This window comes from Homo sapiens, chromosome 12, assembly GCF_000001405.40.
Source record: "Homo sapiens chromosome 12, GRCh38.p14 Primary Assembly".
Classification (NCBI taxonomy): Eukaryota; Metazoa; Chordata; class Mammalia; order Primates; family Hominidae; genus Homo; species Homo sapiens.
In genome coordinates this window covers 34,084,341-34,106,918 of record NC_000012.12, presented here as the reverse complement: position 1 = coordinate 34,106,918, position 22,578 = coordinate 34,084,341, and the positions used below count along the sequence as shown (strand labels likewise).

At 38.5% G+C, this 22,578-nt stretch overlaps 2 annotated features.

The window, feature by feature from the left end:
- Positions 874-1,375: an enhancer, noted in NCBI's record as "H3K4me1 hESC enhancer chr12:34258479-34258980 (GRCh37/hg19 assembly coordinates)". NCBI's record gives its function as "activates a minimal SCP1, AML or CMV promoter by ChIP-STARR-seq in naive H9 embryonic stem cells {active_cell/tissue: H9 hESC(naive)}" and the evidence as "EXISTENCE:reporter gene assay evidence [ECO:0000049][PMID:30033119]".
- Positions 9,338-9,538: a silencer, noted in NCBI's record as "peak1673 fragment used in MPRA reporter construct". NCBI's record gives its function as "represses an SCP1 promoter by STARR-seq MPRAs in K562 erythroleukemia cells {active_cell/tissue: K562}" and the evidence as "EXISTENCE:reporter gene assay evidence [ECO:0000049][PMID:32103011]".

The window sequence follows — 22,578 nt, the reverse complement described above, 5'->3', positions numbered from 1 at the left end:
CAGGGAGATTCTCTGACTGAAATGCCCTCTAGGTCCCGCAGGTCCCTCCAGGACACAGCATCCCTTGGGCTGCTGCATCAGTGGGCTGTTGTCTTGGGCACCCCAAGCTCAACACCATGTGGGGATGACGCTGGGGAATGTGGGGACAGGGATATTTGTCCCCCACATCAGCACAGCAGGAGTTTCATTCTCTGGTGTGCGTGGACACCACCGCATGTGTGGGTGCTGGTGGGGCCCCCATTTTACTGATTAAGAAAGAGCCCTTCCTGGGGCCTCTGGGGAATTGAGCACCATATGTGCCTGGTAGCTGTTAGGGTGTGGAGGGGCTCAGCTGGCCTCTGTCCTGTTGTCACCTTTTCAGGGTCAGTTAGACCCTGAACTCTTATTACCAGTCATGCCTGGATGCACACCACCCTTCACTTGGCATCTCCCAGCCTGATTCCCCCCAGCTCAGCCCCTGAGTTTTCTCAGGCCTCTGTTGGCCCTGAATGGGATCCCAGGAGATGGCAACTCTGCTGCCTGCCTCTGCCTGAAGTCCAGGGTACTTTTGCAGGGTGGGTGAGCAGGTCAGGATTCAGCTTTTGGCTGAGTATGGGACCCTTCCCCACTCCCCACCCCACACTGCTGGAACCACTGTGCACGGCTGGCCTGGGGGCTGCACTGGGTCCCCCAACTTCCTGCTGTACTGGATTGCAGAGAATACTTGTGCATATGGCTTGACCTATTGTCAATGTCCCGTCCAAATCAGAACTAACGAGCTGTTTCCCTGGGGCCAGGGCCCAGGCCTGAGGCTGCCATGACCAGCCCATTCTCTGCCTTCTTTGGGGCCGTCAATGGCCAGTGCTTGGTGGTCCCCAAAAGACATGATGGCCAGGACTTAAGAGCTGGAGGTTAGGCCAGGACACTGCCTGACCACTGGGGTCCACAGGGGCTGTCCCTGAGCTGTGAGTGCCTATGGGATGCAGGCACATGTAGATGCTTTAGATGAGCATGGGCCCTTCTGGCTGGCAGGATCTTGGTGGGCACTGGGCATGTGAGGCCAGGTTAGGTGAGATGAGCAGAATTGGGCCTGGCTGGGGAGCATGATTGGTGTGGCCAGAGTGGGCATCTGGGCCCTCATATCTAAGCTGCACATTGGCAGAATGACAAGTGGTGGGTCAATCATCCCAGCTGAGTCTGGGGACATAGGCCTACCCAGTGGGACCCCCGCCCTTGTCCCGGCCACAAGCCCAGAACGTCTGCCTGCACTGGGTATTCTAGCCTGGGCAGGGAAGCCTGGGTGTGATGATCAGGTGTCGTGTCTCTGGGTTTCAGGCCTTGGTGGCCCCTAGGGAGATGGACAGGCCCCGGGCAGGGGGAGGGGCCTGGGCACCACCTACGTGCATTCGCCCCTGGATGGGTGCCCCCACCCCAGCTTCTCAGCCCTCAGGGCAACATAACCAGGGCTTCCCACCTGCTCTGTGGCTCTAGCTCTGACCCCCTTGCACCATTGCAATGGTGGACCATTGCACCATTGGTACTCTGGGATTACTGGCTTCTTATTTTTAAAATATTTTTCCAAGGAACTATAGTCATAACACTAATTCACTTCTAAATTGTGACTGAATAGTCCTGCTTGGGCTATTTATTACCTTCTATTCTTCTGCACAGTCTAAGGGTACAAAAAATAGGTAGTTTTATATCATTTTTAAATTGAGAAGGTAGATGTGGGAGGTAGGGTTCTCCTAGAAAAAGTTTAAGTGTCTCCTTATCAATACTTCTAAAGTTCATCTCAATCATTCTTTCACTCTTATTCATATGTTCATATTTATTTTCTTCAAAACTCTTAGGTCTATCCATAATCACAATGCGTCTGTTTACTGTTATCTTCTCTCTGCTCACTGGAAGATTTGATCCTTCATTTCCATGGGCTTTTAATTTTTTCATCATTGTTTCTCTAGTTAATAGTACCTTCAGTAGTCTCAAAAACGTATTGAATAAACAAATGATAAGTGAATATTTAATGTGTTCAATAGAAAAATTGCATCACAAAGGAGCACTGTCGCTGCAAATAGCCTCAGTGCTAGGTTAAAAAAAATAATGTCAGGGATCGCAGCTTCTAAAGGTTTCTTTCAAACTAATACATTGATTTATGATTAATTGATCAACTAACTGGAAACTACTTAATTTATATTCAAATATAGTTAGTTCAATTGTACACTATCTACTCTAAATATTATGATGCTTTTAAAGTATTAAGATAAAGCCTTATGCAGCTAAATAGAAACATGTACATACTATAGTGTTAAATGAAATAACTGTATAGTAAAAAATGTTGCCTAATCTTATAAAATTATAGAAATGAGAAAGAAAAATTAAATCAAAATGGTTCTTTTCGCTAAAGTGATGATGCTAGGATGACTTCCTGTTTTTATTTTTTAACCTGCTATTTTTGCAATAATGCTTATTTGTATTTTCGAAATATGGGCATTAAAATCTCTTGGGATCTGTCTTAGGCTGATTCAGCATTTGAATTGACCATATATACATGTCACTTACATATAATTATTATATATGATATATAATATATAAATATATATTATTGTATTATAGAATTGTATGTTATATATAATTATTACATATAATTATATATAACACAATTCTATAATACAATATTAATTATAATATATAATTAATTTATATTAATGTTATATTATAATTTATATTATAAGTTATGTAGTATAATATATAATTAATTTATATTAATATTATATTATAATTATATAATTATGTTATATATAATTCTTATATGTAATAATTATATATATAATTCTCTAAAAATCTCTAAAATTGACTACTTTCTTATTATTTCTCTAAGCAAAATATCTGTTGCCTCCGATTTTGGTTGACTAACAACTGACATTTGCTTAATGCTCCCGGTGTTTTTATCCCATAGCAATTAACTCCATTACTGCCTCTTTCCACTGATAAAGTCCTCCCCACTCTTTCTTGTTTTTACTCCAAGAATAGCTGTCACAGACATTGTCTTCTTAAAATCGTCATGGAAATTATGTATGTGTGGGTCTATGTGTGTGAATGTTGGCTAACGGGGGAAAATGTTAAGAAACACCTGCCCATAGAAACAGAGCAACCCATGTAATTCTTTCTCCAGGAGCTGTTATCAATTTCAAAAAAAAAATTCCTTTAAACATCGAATATTCATAAAAATGCAAGTGATTTTTCCACTAATAATAAAAATGGTAATAAATACTCCATATTTGACATTATCTTGTTGAACACACACCTTCTTCATGTTTTATTTTCTTTGACACAATAGCCCCAGGAGAGAAGTGAAGCAAGCATTAATTCATTTTTCAAAATGATTTTAATAAATATATCCATATATAGGTCCTGTAATATACTTGTTCTTTCTACTGTTTGCCACTGACTTTCTTTTTCTAGTGGATATTATATTAAATACATTTCTCTAGTACTGACTGACGTCTTATTTGCTCTTTAAAATAAGATCAGCTAGAGCATGCTGCATTTCCATGAAATTTTTATTGTGTAGACTTTAACATTAATGAACCTGAATGATTTTATGAAGCACTTGATTTGCACTCTCAAGAAATTGTGTTATAATTAATATCACTATGGATAATTTATCTTCAAGATGGTTTAGGTTGGAATATTAAAGTTGTTGACTGAAAAGTCAGGGATTAATCATTTTGGCTGCAATTATTTATACAAAATGACTGAAAGGACTCTCAGACCCTCAGTGTATTTCTGCAAAGGAGACCTTTATATGAAGATGGGATAAATTTGAGTTCACATGGTTACCCACTAGTTTAATTAATGTTTACAGTTCTCTGAGAAGAAAATAATTGACATTCATAATTGCCAAAGAGGAAAACTAAGACACAAAAGAATAAACTTCAGAGAAGGTCATACTTTGTTTTTTTGTTTGTTTGTTTGTTTGTTTTTGCAGTTGCAAAATTTAATAGAGTGAAATAGAGTGAAAACAGAGCTTCCATACAAAGGGAGGAGACCCAAAGGGGGTTGCCGTTGCCTGCTCGAATGCCTGGGTTTATATCCCGATCCTTGTCCCTCCCGCTGTGCTCTCAGGCAATAGATGATTAGCTATTTCTTTACCTCCTGTTTTGCCTAATTAGCATTTTAGTGAGTTCTCTGATTGGTCGGGTGTGAGCTAAGTTGCAAGCCCCATGTTTAAAGGTGGATGTGGTCACCTTCCCAGCAAGGCTTAGGGACTCTTAGTCAGTGTAGGAAATCCAGCTAGTTCTCTCAGTTCCCCCTCTCAACAGGAAAACCCAAGTGCTGTTGGGGAGGTTGGCTGACGATCGCTCTAACTGCTTCCGGCTGAATTGGGGCATAGTAGGGGTGATGCAGTTGAGATTTCCTTGGGAGGTGTGCCTTCGATGTCATTAACATTGGAACATGGGCTAGCAGGCTGGTCCAGGGGTCCACGGTATATCTTAGTCATGGACTGCATCTGGGGCTCCATTTGAAGAACAATTTGTAGTTTTACGGCTTCAATTCTGGAAGAGACAAACTTAACAAGGAGGTTAAAGATACAGGGATTGAAATGTATGGCCTGAAGTGCAGGGGATTATTTCTTTGGCACACTTCACAGGCCCTGACTATCTGCTTGATAGTTTTGAAAAGGCCTGGTCCAGTAAATAATGATTTGGACATCTGATGGGTGCTATCAATGCCTAAGTGAAAGGTTTGGTGAAGGGTTTTAAGTAATTTCCATTGGTTAGCTGCAGGCAAAAGCATTTTTCCTTATTCGGTGGCTAGCCATCCTGAGGGGAGAAAACTATGTCCTTGTGAGGTTCCCCATTCTATTTCTCCTGCTGAGTATTGGGGCTTGGTTTCCCGGAGGGGATTATCCCATACTAGGGGTACTTCTATAAGAATTTCTAATGGAGGGTCCTGCCCTGTGGCTCTTTTGGCTTCAATATTCGCTTGGTGGTTCCCTTCTATTTCCCTTTCCTTTGCTTTCTGATGACCCCGGCAGTGTAAGACTGCCACCTCTTTAGGTTTCTGTACAGCCAATAATAATCTCCTAATGGCTTTCTGATGTTTGATAGCTGTTCCCTCGGAAGTTAGGAACTCCTTTTCTCTCCATATTGCTGCATAGGCATGGAGGACTAGGTAAGCATACTTAGAGTCTGTGTATATATTTACCCTTTTTCCTTCTCCTAATTCTAGTGTCTGAGTGAGGGCTATTAATATTGCCAGCTGAGCACTAGTTCTTGGAGGGAGGGGATTACTTTCAAGTATTCCATTATCACTGACCACTGCATACCCCACTAAGTCCTTTTTCTACAAAGGAACTTCCATCAGTATACAAGTTGAGGTCGGGATCAGTCAAGGGAAACTCGAATGGCGTAGGTTTGAGCAATTACTTGTTGACAGTTATGTTCTATTTTTTCTTCATTGTCTGGAAGAAATGTGGCTGGGTTAAGTGTTGCACAAGTGCGCAGTCACAGCACTGGCCCTTCAAGTAATAGAGGCTGATATTTAAGTAAACAGTTGTCTGGCAGCCACAAGTCTCCTTTAGCAGTGAGTATGCCATCCACATCATGAGATGTCCACACAGTAAGATCTCTTCCCTGTATTATTTTAACTGCTTCAGATACTAAGACTGCTACTGACACCACTACCCATAAACAATGAGGCCAAGTCTTTGCCACTACATCAATTACTTTACTCAGGTATGCCATGGGTTGCAAGCTCATCCCTTGGACCTGTGTAAGGACTCCTAGAGCTATTCCTGTTTTTGTGTGACATATAAAGAAAAGTCTTGCCCCATTGGCAAGCTTAACACTGGGGCTTGGGTTAGGGCCTTCTTTAGGGCCTGGGAAGCTGCTTCTGCTTCAGGTGTCCATCTTACTAAATGGGTATTGGCTTTCTGAGTTTCCTTAATTAGCGTATATAATGGTCTGGCTATTTCGCCGTATCTGGGAATCCATATTCGGCAGAAACCTGTTAAGCCAAGGAATGCTGTTAGTTGCTTTAGGGTTTTGGGATAAGGATAAGCCAGTATAGGCTGGATACATTCCTCACTGAGGGCCCTGGTGCCTTTGGATAATTTTAGCTCTAAGTATTTAACCTGCTGTGAGCAGAGCTGAGCCTGTGGTTTGGAAACCTTGTAGCCACAGGTGGCTAGGAAATTTAAGAGTGCTTGGGTGGCTTGATGGCACAAGGTTTCTGAATGGGTGGCTAAAATTAAATCATCCACATACTGAAGGACAAGAGTGTCCAGGTATGAGAACTGGCTCAAGTCTTGGGCTAATACCTGGCCAAATAGATGGGGGCTATCCCTGAACCCTTGCGGTAAAACAGTCCAGGTGAGTTGAGACATTGGGTTCAAAGGATCTTCAAAGGCAAAAAAGAATTGAGAGTCAGGATGTACAGAGATGCAGAAAAAGGCATCCTTAAGGTTCAGGACTGTAAACCACTCTGCTTCCTCTGGTATTTGAGAAAGCAGAGTATAAGGTTTAGGTACAGCTGGGTATAGAGGGAAAACGGCCTTACTGATAATCCGATCTTGCACTAACCTCCACTGTCCATTGGGTTTCTGTACTCCTAAAATTGGGGTATTGCAGGGGCTACTGCATGATTTTACTAGGCCTTGGGCTTTTAGGTCCTTAATCTTTTGGAGTCTTTGTTGGGCCTCATGTCTAAGGGGGTACTGCCTTTGGTAGGGAAAGGAGGCGGAATCCTTTAGTTTAATTTGAATACGATGGGCATTCATTGCTCGTCCACATTGTCCTTCTGTTGCCCAGACTTCAGAGAAGGTCATACTTTGAGTAAATAATGGCATTCTGAGATTCCACCCTTTAGTCTGCCTCTGTCAGCTTTCTGAGGGTGATAACTATGCTGACCTCCTAAATGTACAGCACCTAATATATAGCTACACATATCCTAGACTGCTAATAAATGCCACTTGTCACCTGGATAATCCTTCCTTCATGGGAACTGTGCTGCCTAATTAGTTCTGTTATACTCTCCTTAAGTGTCCTTAGCCCCCTTTCCTCTTCTCTATACTGCTCTCAGGTAACACTAAATATCCCCAGTCATTGTACCACAAAGTGGGTTGTATGGTGGTCCCAAGAAACATATGTCTACACGGTAATACCCAGGCCCTGTGAATGTTATTTTATTTGGAAAAAGTGTTCTTTGCAAATGTAACTTAATTAAGGATCTTCAGATGAGATCATCCTGGATTATTTGAGTAGGCCCTAAATCCTGACACGTGCTCTTGTAACAGACTGAAGAGGAGAAGACACAGACACAGAGGTGAAGGCCATGTGAAAATGGAGAAAAAGATAAGACTTACCCAGTCATAAGCCAAAAAGTGCCTAGAGCTGCCAGAGGCGAGGCTAGGCAAGGAAGATCCTCCTCTAAATCATGAGCAGAAAGTGTGGCCACCCACACCTTTGATTTCAGACCTCTGCTTCCAAAATTGTGAGATAATTAATTTCTTTTGTTGTAAGCCATCCAATTTGTGGTACATTGTTGCAGTGGCCCTACAACACTAATATGAACTGCAATGATAACTGATAGAGAAATGGTTTTGAATAGGTAAAATAGGAAATATTCTAAGATTTGTGTATTTAATTTAGGCAATAGTCCAAGAAAAAAGCACACAGGTATATGTAATAAAGTAGAAAAGAGCTACATTTTAATAAATTGATCTGAGATAGGAATAGATTTGCTGCAGATGTTCAGCCCACTTTCACAATTGGTTAGTTTTTCTCCTTAGCAGTCACTAGTCCTCACTGAGAAATCAAACAAACAAAACTTCTCTCTTGCTCTAAATAAAATAGTAAATGGATACTTAGTATCTTCAAATAATGTTTTTTCCTGCCTCAGATTTTTCTGGCTGTATGTATAAGGGATAGTGTTTACTATGATGATCAAAAGTTCTCTTTTTTTACTGGAGAAATAAATTTGCTCTGCAGCAGTAAGGTTTGAGGATTGTCCTGGATAAAAATGAAGCCAAGAAGTTGAATTATTTACCAAGTAAAAGGTATTTATTTCCTAAGGTTGTGGTCACTTGATGTTATTCCTAGAAAAGGGCACAGTTGTCTGTATATGTTAGAATATAAAACTAAAAATAACATTTCTAAAAGTAAAGTGATTATTTTATCATCTAGGAGATGCATTTTTTAAAACTGTAATCATGACATACGTTGATTTACAAAATAATAAACCCCCAGCTAGCTACTCTAACATGAATGAGTTACTATACAGATAGAGCATTGGCTACTCAAAGAAGTCACTGGCAATTTTTTTTTTGAGGTGGTGGTGCATAATGGTTGTGTCGCTGAGAGACTAGAGAGCCCAGCTGTATCTGCTTAAGCTTGATTGAAATATCTCCATCAAGCGTGAACAGTTCAAGTGGGGTCCAGAGGCACTTCCCAAAGGGTTCTTTGTCTATGATTTTCTTGCTGTGGTCATTTTATCAGGAGACTCAATTTCCAACACTTTGGGACTCCCCTGCTGAGAACTCCAGTGCTGAGAGTACAGCTGTGCAGGGCACCTGCTAATCGTGCCGTTCATCAGTTATCTCTATGTCATTGTCTTTGCCACCAGACTCTGAACTCACTTTCTATTCCTATATTACTATGCTCTTGTAACTCACTTTTGAAAATTATTACAACATTGTCGCTTTAACTTTTAAAGTTAAAATGGCAACAGGAAACTCATGAACAAAGGAGATGTACATAGAGACAGTCTATTCATTAAGCTCTGGGAATTGCATACATTTCCTCCCCACTGGCTCTTCCAGGGCCCTGTGCAAGATTTCCCTGTTCTATTCCTAGTGAAGTCCTTGACACATAAACCAGCCCTTAAGGAAAAGCTGACAACGTTGCTAAAGAAACAAATGAACCAGGCAATTCAGAAGAACCCAAGGACAAATTTCCCCTCAGGATAACAAGTTCACCTCCAGTGACAGTTCAACCAAAATTACTAGAAGGATATTAATTCCCTGTTGATCTCTTTAAAATGAAATTAACAGTCTAAAATCAATAATTTCAAATCTATACAATGATTAATAACCTACCACATGTTACAGAAATATAGAGATTCCTCAGTTCTAAATATGGTGACTAATTATAAATATTTCAAAGCCTCCAACAAGATTCCAAGGTCCAGTGGACCATGAGTCTCTAAGCTATTGAAATCCCTCTTGCGCTTGGCTGCAATCATATTTTGCCCAAGTGGAACCAGAAGGCTTATTTTGAGGTCTAGGGTGTCTCAATCTATTTTTCTTAATAAGATCAAAGGAGAAGACTTCTCGGACTGGGATTATGACTTATATAAGATTTTAAGGAAAAAAATGGAGGTCATCCTGCACTGGGAAGTTTCCACAACATTCAAAGGAGAGGAACTTCATCCGTCAACCAATACTTGATTAGATCTTACACCCTTCCGAGAAGAGAATGATGTCCTCTCCCACAACATCCAAAGAAGAGGAACTTCATTAGTCAACTAAGACGTGATTAGATCTTACACCCTTCCAAGAAAAGAATGACTTCCTCATTTTCAATAATAAACCTGTCTTTCAAAAAGAAATAATCTGACTGTATGAATCCCACTTTAGGAAGACTTTTTACATATCTTTTTTCATCTGAAACATAATTAGAAGATTTTCATGAGCAAGTTAAGCCCTTCTAAAGCATATCCAGAGCCAATATATAGGTTTGGTCGTTATTAGGATGAACCATATAATATTGCCTCATTCAAGTCAAAACTATAAAATATTGGCCAAAAAAACTATGGTATTAGGGGTCAGTCTTGGGAGACAATGACTTGAAACAGGTAAAATGGAATTTCTGAGGTTCTGATAATGTTCTGCTTCTTTATTTGGGTGCTAATTAATTTTTAAAAATGCATTGAGTTGCATGTATGAGTTTTCATATGTATATTATACTTCAATAAAAGTTGATATTAAAGTAAAATATATGTGTAAACTTCAAAGAAATAAAGAAAAAGAGGATAAAACAATAGAATATCTCACTAGAGAACTTGAATCTATGAAAAAAATCAAATAGATATTCTAGCAAGGAAAATATAATATCTAAAATTAAAAACTAAGTAGACGAGTTTTATAACATTGAGTTTTATAACATTGGTGCTGGGGCAGACAGGATTAGTGAAAATACTCAAACCAAAACACACAATGAAAGCTGTTATCAGTAGGCAGTTTGCCTACTGATAAAATATATATTATCTATTTATCTATCTATCTATCTATCTCTCTCTCTCTCTCTCTCTCTCTCTCTCTCTCTCTCTCTATATATATATATATATATATATATATATATATAGAGAGAGAGAGAGAGAGAGAGAGAGAGAGACCAGCCCAGCCAACATGGTGAAGCCCAGTTTCTACTAAAAATACAAAAATTAGCCGGGCATGGTGGTGGGGACTTGTAATCCCAGCTACCCAGGAGGCTAAGGCACAAGAATCAGTTAAATATATATATATACGTGTGTATATATACACACACACATATATATACACACATGTATATATATATACACAAGTATATATATATATACCCCACATTTTCTTTATCCACTCATTGGTTAATGGGCATTTACACTGATTCCATAATTTTGCAATTGTAAATTGTGCTGCTATAAACATGCGTGTGCAAGCATCTTTTTCATATAAAGACTTCTCTTTTTCTGGGTAGATAGTAGCAAGATTGCTGGATCAGACAGTAGTTCTAGTTTTAGTTCTTTAAGGAATCTCCATACTGGTTGTACTGGTTTACATTCCCACCAGCAGTGTAAAAGTGTTCCCTAGAAAAGGAAGATTCTAGTTTAACAAAGATCTTGAGAAATATGTTAGCATTTCATTTATTTAGCCAGAAATCCTTGGTATCTTAAGCATTTGATGTCTCTAACATTTTTCTGAATCAAAGAAACCAATTTCTTTGTGAGTCAAAGTGAGCAAAACTCATCTACTACACAAAATCACCTACGTTATTGTTAAGAAACTTCTTGAAAGATTTGAAAAGGAACTAACTGTATGTTGAGGACTTAGTGTAGAGCATCAAGTTATCGCATTACACCATTCGAAACACTGGGATGTGTTAGTCCTTATTAATCCTTAAGCATTGGTCATTTTTTGTGTTCATCTTGTTCTCATTTTTCTACCAACAATGTCAAGAGATTCATTTGTGAAAGTACTGAAACAATCATCTGAAACATAAAGCACTGGTATTTTCCTTTTTAAAATGAGCAACCAGGGACGTTTTCTTCACCCTCCTCTTAAAATGAGCAATGATTTAGAGACGGCTGAGGAGGCCAGAATCTGGAAGTCTGCCTAACAGGTCATTTGTTTCCAGTTTTTGGAACATGAGACAATCACAATGATTGATGCTCTCATGTACAAGCTTTTTTGTTCTTGTGAGGTAACAGTGAGGGCATGATTATCCATCTTCGCCAGCTGATGTCTTGTTGGCACACCTGCCTTGTTACCACTCTAATTAACAGGCCCATGTCAGCAGCTCTGCTTGCTCCTGACAAGCTCCTAGCACAGGGGACAGCACGACCTGAAACTCTTAAGGATACCAACAGCAAAAAAACAAAAGCGGTAATGGTGGGGCAAGCATTAATCTAAAAATTTTTTTAAGAGGCAAATTTTTTATATTTGACTCCTTCTAATAATAAGGATTTGGTGGGGGGAAAGAGAAAATAAATTTCAATAAGATTTTTCCTCAGGGAAAGCAAACTTAGTTGTTGAAGTTTAGATTTCCTATGTAATGAGAAATTAATATTTTAGTAACTTCTATTCGATTGAGCCAGAGGAAACATCTTTTGAGAGAGCATTCTCCTTTTTACTGATAAATACTGTTTTTTCTTTTGAGATGGAATCTCGACCAGGCTGCCAGGCTGGAGTGCAGTGGAGCAATCTCAGCTCACTGCAACCTCCACCTCACAGGTTCAAGCAATTCTCGTGCCTCAGCCTCCTGGGTAGCTGGGATTACAGGTGCCCACCACCATGCCTGGCTAATTTTTGTATTTTTAGTAGAGACTGGGCTTCACCATGTTAGCCGGGCTGGTCTCAAACTTTTGACCTAAAGCGATCCATTTGCCTCAGCCTCCCAAGGTGCTGGGATGACAGGCGTGAGCCAATGCCCCTGGCCCAGAAAAACATCTTTCAATTTTCAAAATTTTATATAAGACTGTTAAACTCCAAATTTTATCTTCAGGAATTTAAGCTAAAGCCAAGTACTCTGCTAGCCAATGGAATTTATTTTTCTCCCTTTCCTCTCAGTAGTCATAGATTTTCTACTAATTTAACCATTTTATTTCTTTTTAATTTTATGTTTTTATTGTGCTCTTGTACAAACTGATCATCAACAAATAAACCAATCATGAAATATTTATTGACAGACACTGATGACAAGGGAGAAAATATGGGCTCTGAAGTCAGAAGACCTGAGTTCAAGTCCTACTTTGTCATTATCTGCTTGTGTGATTTCAGGCACTTACTCTCTTATCAAGTTCCTCATATGTACAATAGTGAAGGAAAGGAAGAAGTTCTGCTTCTTATAGTTACTATGAAAACTAGATGGAGCAAAACTAGGTGTCTTAAGTGTAAAATTAAATAATATCTATGATGCATATTATGAATTATACAGTACATGCAGTTGTTAATTGTCTGTATCAACTTGGTTAGGCTATGGTGCTCAGTTGTTTGGCCAGATACTAGTCTAGATATTGCTGTGAAGGCATTTTGTAGATGTGATTACTATTTACAATCAGTTGATTTTAAGTAAAGCATGTTACCCTCCATAATGTAAAGGGCTTTATCCATTCAGCTGAAGGCTTTAAGAACAAAAACTGAGGTTCCCTGGAGAAGAAAAATTTCTCCCTCAAGACTATAATACAGAAATCCTGACAGAATTTCTAGCCTGCTGGTCAGATATCTTTGAATATCAGACTCAAGACCATAATATCAACACTCACCTGAATTTCTAGACTTTCTGTCAACCTGCCTACATGTTTTAGACTTGCCAGACCCCACAGTCATGTGAGATATAAGCCAGTTCTTTATTTAAAATCTCTCTCTCTGTCTGTCTGTCTCTCTGGAGAATGCTATATGATACAGTACTTTCCTCAATTAGCAAAACCTTATTAGTCCTTGCTCTATGATAGACATTATATGAATATCTTTTTTTAAAAGTTCTGCATGGTAACTACTAAGTAACAGAGCAACTTCTTCTTTTTTTTATTATTATATTTTAAGTTTCAGGGTACATGTGCACATTGTGCAGGTTAGTTACATACGTATACATGTGCCATGCTGGTGTGCTGCACCCACTAACTCATCATCTAGCACCATCATTCTCAGTAAACTTCTTATTATTATTATTCATAAATGGTGGTTACACCAGATTTAACTATTGTCCCAAAACTCCAGATATTTTCCCTTAAACATATTGAAAAATAACAGAACCAACCCTATGGTCTTGAGCACAATTTATCTCCAAGCCATGTGAAGAGAGACGGGACTTCACAAGAATTAATTGAAGACATTGGAGGTGTACATGGGAAGGAGACGTTGGAGGCCTTTGCAATTCAGCAACCTCAGTACTTGCTGCCTTCCATGTAGGGAGGGTGTGGAAGAGTTTAGAGTATTTGTGAAAGCATGGAGCTTTTTTCTAAACACAAAAACTGATGTTTACTTCTCATCTGGAGATTCCTGAAGTAAGCAGCTTGTTGGAAAAGCCCCAGAACCAGAATAACATAGAGGTGTAGTATAGAATTGCCCCGCGGGGAGCTAGTGGTGGTTGGGGAAGAATAGGGTACCTCTATCCCAGTTATCCATAGCCCTTGGAGAGGTTACAAAGCTAATTCATATGGCTTCACATATAGGAGAAAGGGGATTAGAAGGAGAAATGAATCCATAGAGCTGTAACATCGATGACAGATCATGTGAGGAGATACCATTCCCTGTAAGGATTTGGTGCTGCGGTCAAGATTAAAGGCTAACATAATTCTCTAAGAAGATCTTCTTTCATCAAGTGCACCAGGTCAATTTGAACACTGTCCTAAACAACCATATGCATAACTGCAAAGGTCACCAGCACCACATAGAGCCAGAAAGAACTAGAGAAGACCAGAGCCATCCTCTAGCAGCAATATAGGGCCAGCTCACATCAGAAAATGTCACTCTGTCACTCCTGGTCTCATCCTGGCTCCATCCACTAAAGGAGGTATGCCTTCAAAAGAGAGTACTCTCCATCTTCACCATGCAAGCAGCCAGCATCACAGTTTGAACTAGAGATTAGTTGAGAATTCTTAAAAAACTAATTATACAAGGTAAAAGATAATATATGCCAGGCTAAATAGCACCTCATCTATATAATGCTCATTTCCAGCTTACAGGGTACCTTTAATAATACCATCTCACTTATAAGGATCCTATGAAATACTTTTTCCTGTGTATTTCCTTACAATGTAGTACTATTCAACCATTTAAAAAAATGAGATCATCATTTGCAACAGCATGGATGGAACTGGAGATCACTAAGTGAAATAAGCCAAACACAGAAAGACAAACATCACATCAGTTATTTGTGGGATCAGTTCTCAGTTATATGTGGGATCTATATAAATCAAAACAATTGAACTCATGGACATAAAGAGTAGAAAGATGGTTACCAGAGGCTGGGAAAGGTATTTTTAAATTTTAGGTTCCTGGGGTACATGTGCAAGTCTGTTACATGGGAATGTTGCATAATGGTGAGGCTTGGGCTTCTAGCTAACCTATCACCCAAATAGTGAACATAGTTTGTGATAAGGTAGTTTTTTCACCCTTACTCTCCTCCATTTCTCTCACTTTTGGAGTCTATTATTTCCATCCTTGTTTCCAGGTATACTCACTGTTTCGCTTCCACTTATATTTGAGAATATGTGGTATTTGACTTTCTGAGTTGTTTCACTTAGGATAATGGCTTTCAGCTCCACTCAGCTTGCTGCAAAAACATAATTTCATTTTTTATGGCTGCATAGTATCCCACATATATAATTTATATATATAAATAATAGTTTCCATATTAGCCATTTTATATATACAGAATGTACAGCCATATAATATATATAGTATTTTATATATATATGCTATATATATAGTATTTTATACATATACACTATATATAGTATTCCATATATCTATAATATGGCTGCATAGTATTCCATATATATAAACATGTTACATTTTCTTTATTTAATCAACTATTAATGGACACTTAGGTTGATTCTATGACTTCGCTATTGTGAATAGTGTGGCAATAAACATACAAGTGCACATGTCTTTTTGAGAAAATGATTTCTTTGGATAGATACCGAGTGATGGAATTGCCAGGTCAAATGGTAGTTCTATTTTTTATTATTTGAAACATTTCCATACTGTTTTTCCTTGCAATACTTATTTATGTCTTTAAAAAAAAAAATAAAGGAAATTCAGTTTCAGAATGATTAAGATACTTGCCTAAGGTCTCAAAGTTATGGTGCTAGGCCTAAATTTGTCCTAATGTCCAATATGGTCTAATCACAAACTTTTTTTTCAGCTACACCAGGTTTTAGGAGTTAATCATCCCACTAGAAATCCTCTGAAATAGTGGAGTATATCTTCTAATTCCTGGAAAGTCCTAAATTCTCTGGTACAAAAGCCAGAATTCTAGAGTAATGATGACATTACTTACTACATACCACAAGGGCACATTAAGAATGATCAGCACTTCTAATAACAACTTTTCATTAAACTCTGATGTTGAATGCTTTATATGCATTATCTCATCTAACCACATTAACATACTAATGCCAAATCTGTGGATAGGTGAGTTTTTCCTTGATTTCACCTTCCTGCCTTCTTCCTGTCATCTACAATCAAACAACTCAGCTACATAATAGGAGATGAATATATGTGGTTTGAATATATTCATGAAGGATTAATGAAATAATAACTATAAAATTGACAAGCAGCATATATTGACTTTCACTCTATCATTTAATCCCTCAAGTAAGCCTGTGCTTTTTAGTACTCAGCAAATATTTGCTGAAATAACTTATAAAAGAGTTATCATTACAAAGAGAAATCTATCCTATTTTAAGAATTGCCTAGAAGAAATCTACATCATTTTCATTTTCAATATTAGAAGATCGTATATTTTTAAGTTGGTGTCATCCCCTCTACTAATCTCAGTAACTAAGATTTTAAGTTAACATATTTATCAAAGGCCCCACAACTTATCCTATGACTCTACATTCTTTCTCTGAGCAAGTGAACATATAGTTTATTGAAAAATAAAATAATATTATTCTTCATGGATGAAATTCAACACACTCTTGTACCAGCTTCACTAATCAAATAGTTCTTTCTTATGCTTAACATAGTTTTTCTTCGAGTGATTTAAGATATTTCTTGTTGCTCTTTGTGAAACAAATTAAAATGATCAAATAAAAATCATTTTTATTTCTCAAATTCAAGCTAAACTATTTTTTAGTTAGGCTAGGTTCAATTTCAAGCAATAGAAATTTAACTCTCGCTCAAACAATGAGGAAATTCATTATTTCATTAAACAGGAAATCCAGAAGGAAGGCAGGCTTCAAACTTGGTTGCTCTAGCAGCTCAGTCTTCCATCAAAGACCCAGGTTCTTTTTTGTTGTTATTTTTTGTTACTGTTATTGGCTTCCCAGCTGTGCTGGCTGCAGCCCCCAACTGAATCCTAAATCAAGATCTGGCAATTAAAATTAAAGCCACAGTACGTAGGATGGATGCAACATCTTAGTGATGCTTACCATCCCCTTGACTCTCTCTGCTCCCTCTCCCCTACTCTCTGTTCCTGGTTCATTGATCTTCATGCCACACTGTTGCTTGGGGCTTTTGCTCTGTCTCCTGAGCCTAACACACTCTTCCCTCACATCGCATATTCATTTGGCCAATTCCATCATGTTCTTCAAGCCTTTGCACAAATCTCACAGTCTTATTCTGACCACTTAATTTAATTAAACAACCTATTCCTGGGCACTCTGAATCCCCACTCTCCTTTTATTTTACACCGTACTTGTCACCTTCAGATTTATTACTTAGTTTATCAATTTATTATGTTGACTGATTATTTTCTTACTCCTATGTCGATCTCCTCCTAAATCTCTTACTCCTAAAGTCAATCTCCACAAAGGCAAGACTTCTTGGTTTACTCATTAGTATATCCCAAGTACTTAGAAGAGTCATTAAGAAATAATAAGAGCTCTATTCAATATTAGTTGAATATTGTTGAATGAATGTTTATAAAATGGCTGCCTGTACTAATTAGATTCATAGGCTTCCTTGTTTATTTACAGGAGGAAAATAGAACTGGTTTCTCTTGTTCTGAAGACAGCAAAGAAGCATTTTAGACTAAGGCTCTTTAGAACAAGAAAGAACAAGCAGGACTCTGCTTAAATCTCATTGGTTAAAAATTAGATTACACACACTTTCCTGAATCACTCCAGTGGAATAACTATAATTACCAAGATTGGTTTAAATTAATCAGATCCTACTTTCTTTTTTTTTATTATACTGTAAGTTTTAGTGTACATGTGCACAACGTGCAGGTTTGTTACATATGTATACATGTACCATGTTGGTGTGCTGCACCCATTAACTCATCATTTAGCATTAGGTATATCTCCTAATGCTATCCCTCCTCCCTCCCCCCACCCCACAACAGTCCCCAGTGTGTGATGTTCCCCTTCCTGTGTCCATGTGTTCTCATTGTTCAATTCCCACCTATGAGTGAGAACATGTGGTGTTTGGATTTTTGTCCTTGCTAGAGTTTGCTGAGAATGATGGTTTCCAGCTTCATCCACGTCCCTACAAAGGACGTGAACTCATTATTTTTTATGGCTGCATAGTATTCCATGGTGTATATGTACCACATTTTCTTAATCCAGTCTATCATTGTTGGACATTTGGGTTGGTTCCAAGTCTTTGCTACTGTGAATAGTGCCACAATAAACATACATGTGCATGTGTCTTTATAGCAGCATGATTTATAATCCTGGGTATATACCCAGTAATGGGATGGCTGGGTCAAATGGTATTTCTAGTTCTAGATCCCTGAGGAATCGCCACACCAACTTCCACAAAGGTTGAACTAGCTTACAATCCCACCAACAGTGTAAAAGTGTTCCTATTTCTCCACATCCTCTCCACCACTTGTTGTTTCCTTTTTAATGATCGCCATTCTAACTGGTGTGAGATGATATCTCATTGTGGTTTTGATTTGCATTTCTCTGATGGCCAGTGATGATGAGCATTTTTTCATGTGTTTTTTGGCTGCATAAATGTCTTCTTTTGAGAAGTGTCTGTTCATATCCTTCACCCACTTTTTGATGGGGCTGTTTTTTTTTCTTGTAAATTTGTTTGAGTTCATTGTAGAGTCTGGATATTAGCCCTTTGACAGATGAGTAGGTTGCAAAAATTTTCTCCCATTTTGTAGGTTGCCTGCTCACTCTGATGGTGGTTTCTTTTGCTGTGCAGAAGCTCTTTAGTTTCATTAGATCCCATTTGTCAATTTTGGCTTTTGTTGCCATTGCTTTTGGTGTTTTAGACATGAAGTCCTTGCCCATGCCTATGTCCTGAATGGTAATGCCTAGGTTTTCTTCTAGGCTTTTTATGGTTTTAGGTCTAACAGGTAAGTCTTTAATCCATCTTGAAGTAATTTTTGTATAAGGTGTAAGGAAGAGATCCAGTTTCAGCTTTCTACATATGGCTAGCCAGTTTTCCCAGCTCCATTTATTAAATACAGAATCCTTTCCCCATTGCTTGTTTTTCTCAGGTTTGTCAAAGATCAGATAGTTGTAGATATACAGCATTATTTCTGAGGGCTCTGTTCTGTCCTATTAGGCTATATCTCTGTTTGGGTACCAGTACCATGCTGTTTTGGTTACTGTAGCCTTGTAGTATAGTTTGAAATCAGGTAGCATGATGCCTCCAGCTTTGTTCTTTTGGTTTAGGATTGACATGGCGATGCGGGCTCTTTTTTGGTTCCATATGAACTTTAAAGTAGCTTTTTCCAATTCTGTGAAGAAAGTCATTGGTAGCTTGATGGGGATGGCATTGAATCTATAAATTACCTTGGACAGTATGGCCACTTTCACGATATTGATTCTTCCTACCCATGAGCATGGAATGTTCTTCCATTTGTTTGTATCCTCCTTGATTTCATTGAGCAGCGGTTTGTAGTTCTCCTTGAAGAGGTCCTTCACATCCCTTGTAAGTTGGATTCCTAGGTATTTTATTCTCTTTGAAGCAATTGTGAATGGGAGTTCACTTATGATTTGGCTCTCTGTTTGTCTGTTATTGGTGTATAAGAATGCTTGTGATTTTTGTACATTGATTTTGTATCCTGAGACTTTGCTGAAGTTGCTTATCAGCTTGAGAAGATTTTGGGCTGAGACGATGGGGTTTTCTAGATATACAATCATGTCATCTGCAAACAGGGACAATTTGACTTCCTCTTTTCCTAATTTAATGCCCTTTATTTCCTTCTCCTGCCTGATTGCCCTGGCCAGAACTTCCAACACTATGTTGAATAGGAGTGGTGAGAGAGGGCATCCCTGTCTTGTGCCAGTTTTCAAAGGGAATGCTTCAGGTTTTGTCCATTCAGTATGATATTGGCTGTGGGTCTGTCATAGATAGCTTTTATTATTTTGAGATACGTCCCATCAATATCTAATTTATTGAGAGTTTTTAGCATGAGGGGTTGTTGAATTTTGTCAAAAGCCTTTTCTGCATGTATTGAGATAGTCAAGTGGTTTTTGTCTTTGGTTCTGTTTATATACTGGACTATGATTATTGATTTTCATATGTTGAACCAGCCTTGCATCCCAGGGATGAAGCCCACTTGATCATGGTGGATAAGCTTTTTGATGTGCTGCTGGATTCTGTTTGCCAGTATTTTATTGAGGATTTTTGCAGTGATGTTCATCAAGGATATTGGTCTAAAATTCTCTTTTTTGGGTCTCTGCCAGGCTTTGGTATCAGGATGATGGTGGCCTCATAAAATGAGTTAGAAAAGATTCCCTCTTTTTCTACTGATTGGAATAGTTTCAGAAGGAATGGTACCAGCTCCTCCTTGTACCTCTGGTAGAATTTGGCTGTGAATCCTTCTGGTCCTGGACTTTTTTTGGTTGGTAAGCTATTAATTATTGCCTCAATTTCAGAGCCTGTTATTGGTCTATTCAGAGATTCAACTTCTTCCTTGTTTAGTCTTGGGAGGGTGTAAGTGTCGAGGAATTTATCCATTTTTCTAGTTTATTTGCATAGAGGTGTTTATAGTATTCTCTGATGGTAGTTTGTATTTCTGTGGGATCGGTGGTGATATCCCCTTTGTCATTTTTTATTGTGTCTATTTGATTCTTCTCTCTTTTCTTCTTTATTAGTCTTGCTAGCGGTCTATCAATTTTGTTGATCTTTTCAAAAAACCAAGACCTTTTTTTCTCTATTTCCTTCAATTATGCTCTGATGTTAGTTATTTCTTGCCTCTGCTAGCTTTTCAATGTGTTTGCTCTTGCTTTTCTAGTTCTTTTAATTGTGATGTTAGGGTGTCAATTTTAGATCTTTCCTGCTTTCTCTTGTGGGCATTTAGTGCTATAAATTTCCCTCTACACACTGCTTTGAATGTGTCTCAGAGATTCTGGTATGTTGTGTCTTTGTTCTCATTGGTTTCAAAGAACATGTTTATTTCTGCCTTCATTTCATTATTTACCCAGTAGTCATTCAGGAGCAGGTTGTTCAGTATCCATGTAGTTGAGCAGTTTTGAGTGAGTTTCTGAATCCTGAGTTCCAGTGTGATTGCACTGTGGTCTGAGAGATAGTTTGTTATAATTTCTGTTCTTTTACATTTGCTGAGGAGTGCTTTACTTCCAAATATATGGTCAATTTTGGAGTACGTGTGGTGTGGTGCTGAAAAGAATGTATATTCTGTTGATTTGTGGTGGAGAGTTCTGTAGAAGTCTATTAGGTCCACTTGGTGCAGAGCTGAGTTCAATTCCTGGGTATCCTTGTTCACTTTCTGTCTCATTGATCTGTCTAATGTTGACAGTGGGGTGTTAACGTCTGCTATTATTATTGTGTGGGAGTCTAAGTCTCTTTGTAGGCCACTAAGGACTTGCTTTATAAATCTGAGTGCTCCTGTCTTGGCTGCATATATATTTAGTATAGTTAATTCTTCTTGTTGAATTGATCCCTTTACTATTATGTAATGGCCTTCTTTGTCTCTTTTGATCTTTGTTGGTTTAAAGTCTGTTTTATCAGAGACTAGGATTGCAACCCCTGCCTTCTTTTGTTTTCCATTTGCTTGGTAGATCTTCCTCCATCCCTTTATTTTGAGCCTATGTGTGTCTCTGCACATGAGATGGGTTTCCTGAATGCAGCACACTGATGGGTCTTGACTCTTTATCCAATTTGCCAGTCTGTGTCTTTTAATTGGAGCATTTAGTCCATTTACATTTAAGGTTAGTATTGTTATGTGTGAATTTGATCCTGTCATTCTGATGTTAGCTGGTTATTTTGCTCGTTAGTTGATGCAGTTTCTTCCTAGTCTCAATGTTCTTTACATTTTGGCATGATTTTGCAGCGGCTGGTACCGGTTGTTCCTTTCCATGTTTAGTGCTTACTTCAGGAGCTCTTGTAAGGCAGGCCTGGTGGTGACAAAATGTCTCAGCATTTGCTTGTCTGTAAAGGATTTTATTTCTCCTTCACTTATGAAGCTTAGTTTGGCTGGATATGAAATCCTGGGTTGAAAATTCTTTTCTTTAAGAATGTTGAATATCGGCCCCCACTCTCTTCTGGCTTGTAGAATTTCTGCCAAGAGATCAGCTGCTAGTCTGATGGGCTTCCCTTTGTGGGTAACCCAACCTTTCTCTCTGGCTGCCCTTAACATTTTTTCCTTCATTTCAACTTTGATGAATCTGACAATTATGTGTCCTAGAGTTGCTCTTCTCGAGGAGTATCTTTGTGGCGTTCTCTGTATTTCCTGAATTTGAATGTTGGCCTGCCTTGCTAGGTTGGGGAAGTTCTCCTGGAGAATATCCTGCAGAGTGTTTTCCAACTTCGTTCCATTCTCCCCATCACTTTCAAGTATACCAATCAGATGTAGATTTGGTCTTTTCTAGTCCCATATTTCTTGGATTCTTTGTTCATTTCTTTTTATTCTTTTTTCTCTAAACCTGTCTTCTCACTTCATTTCATTCATTTCATCTTCCATCACTGATACCCTTTCTTCCAGTTGATCACATCAGCCACAGAGCCTTCTGCATTCGTCACGCAGCTCTTGTGCCTTGGTTTTCAGCTCCATCAGGTCCTTTAAGGACTTCTCTTCACTGCTTATTCTAGTTATACATTCATCTAATTTTTTTTTCAAAGTTTTAACTTCTTTGCCATTGGTTCAAATTTCCTCCTGTAGCTCAGAGTACTTTGATCGTTTGAAGCCTTCTTCTCTCAACTCATCAAAGTCATTCTCCATCCCACTTTGTTCCATTGCTGGTGAGGAG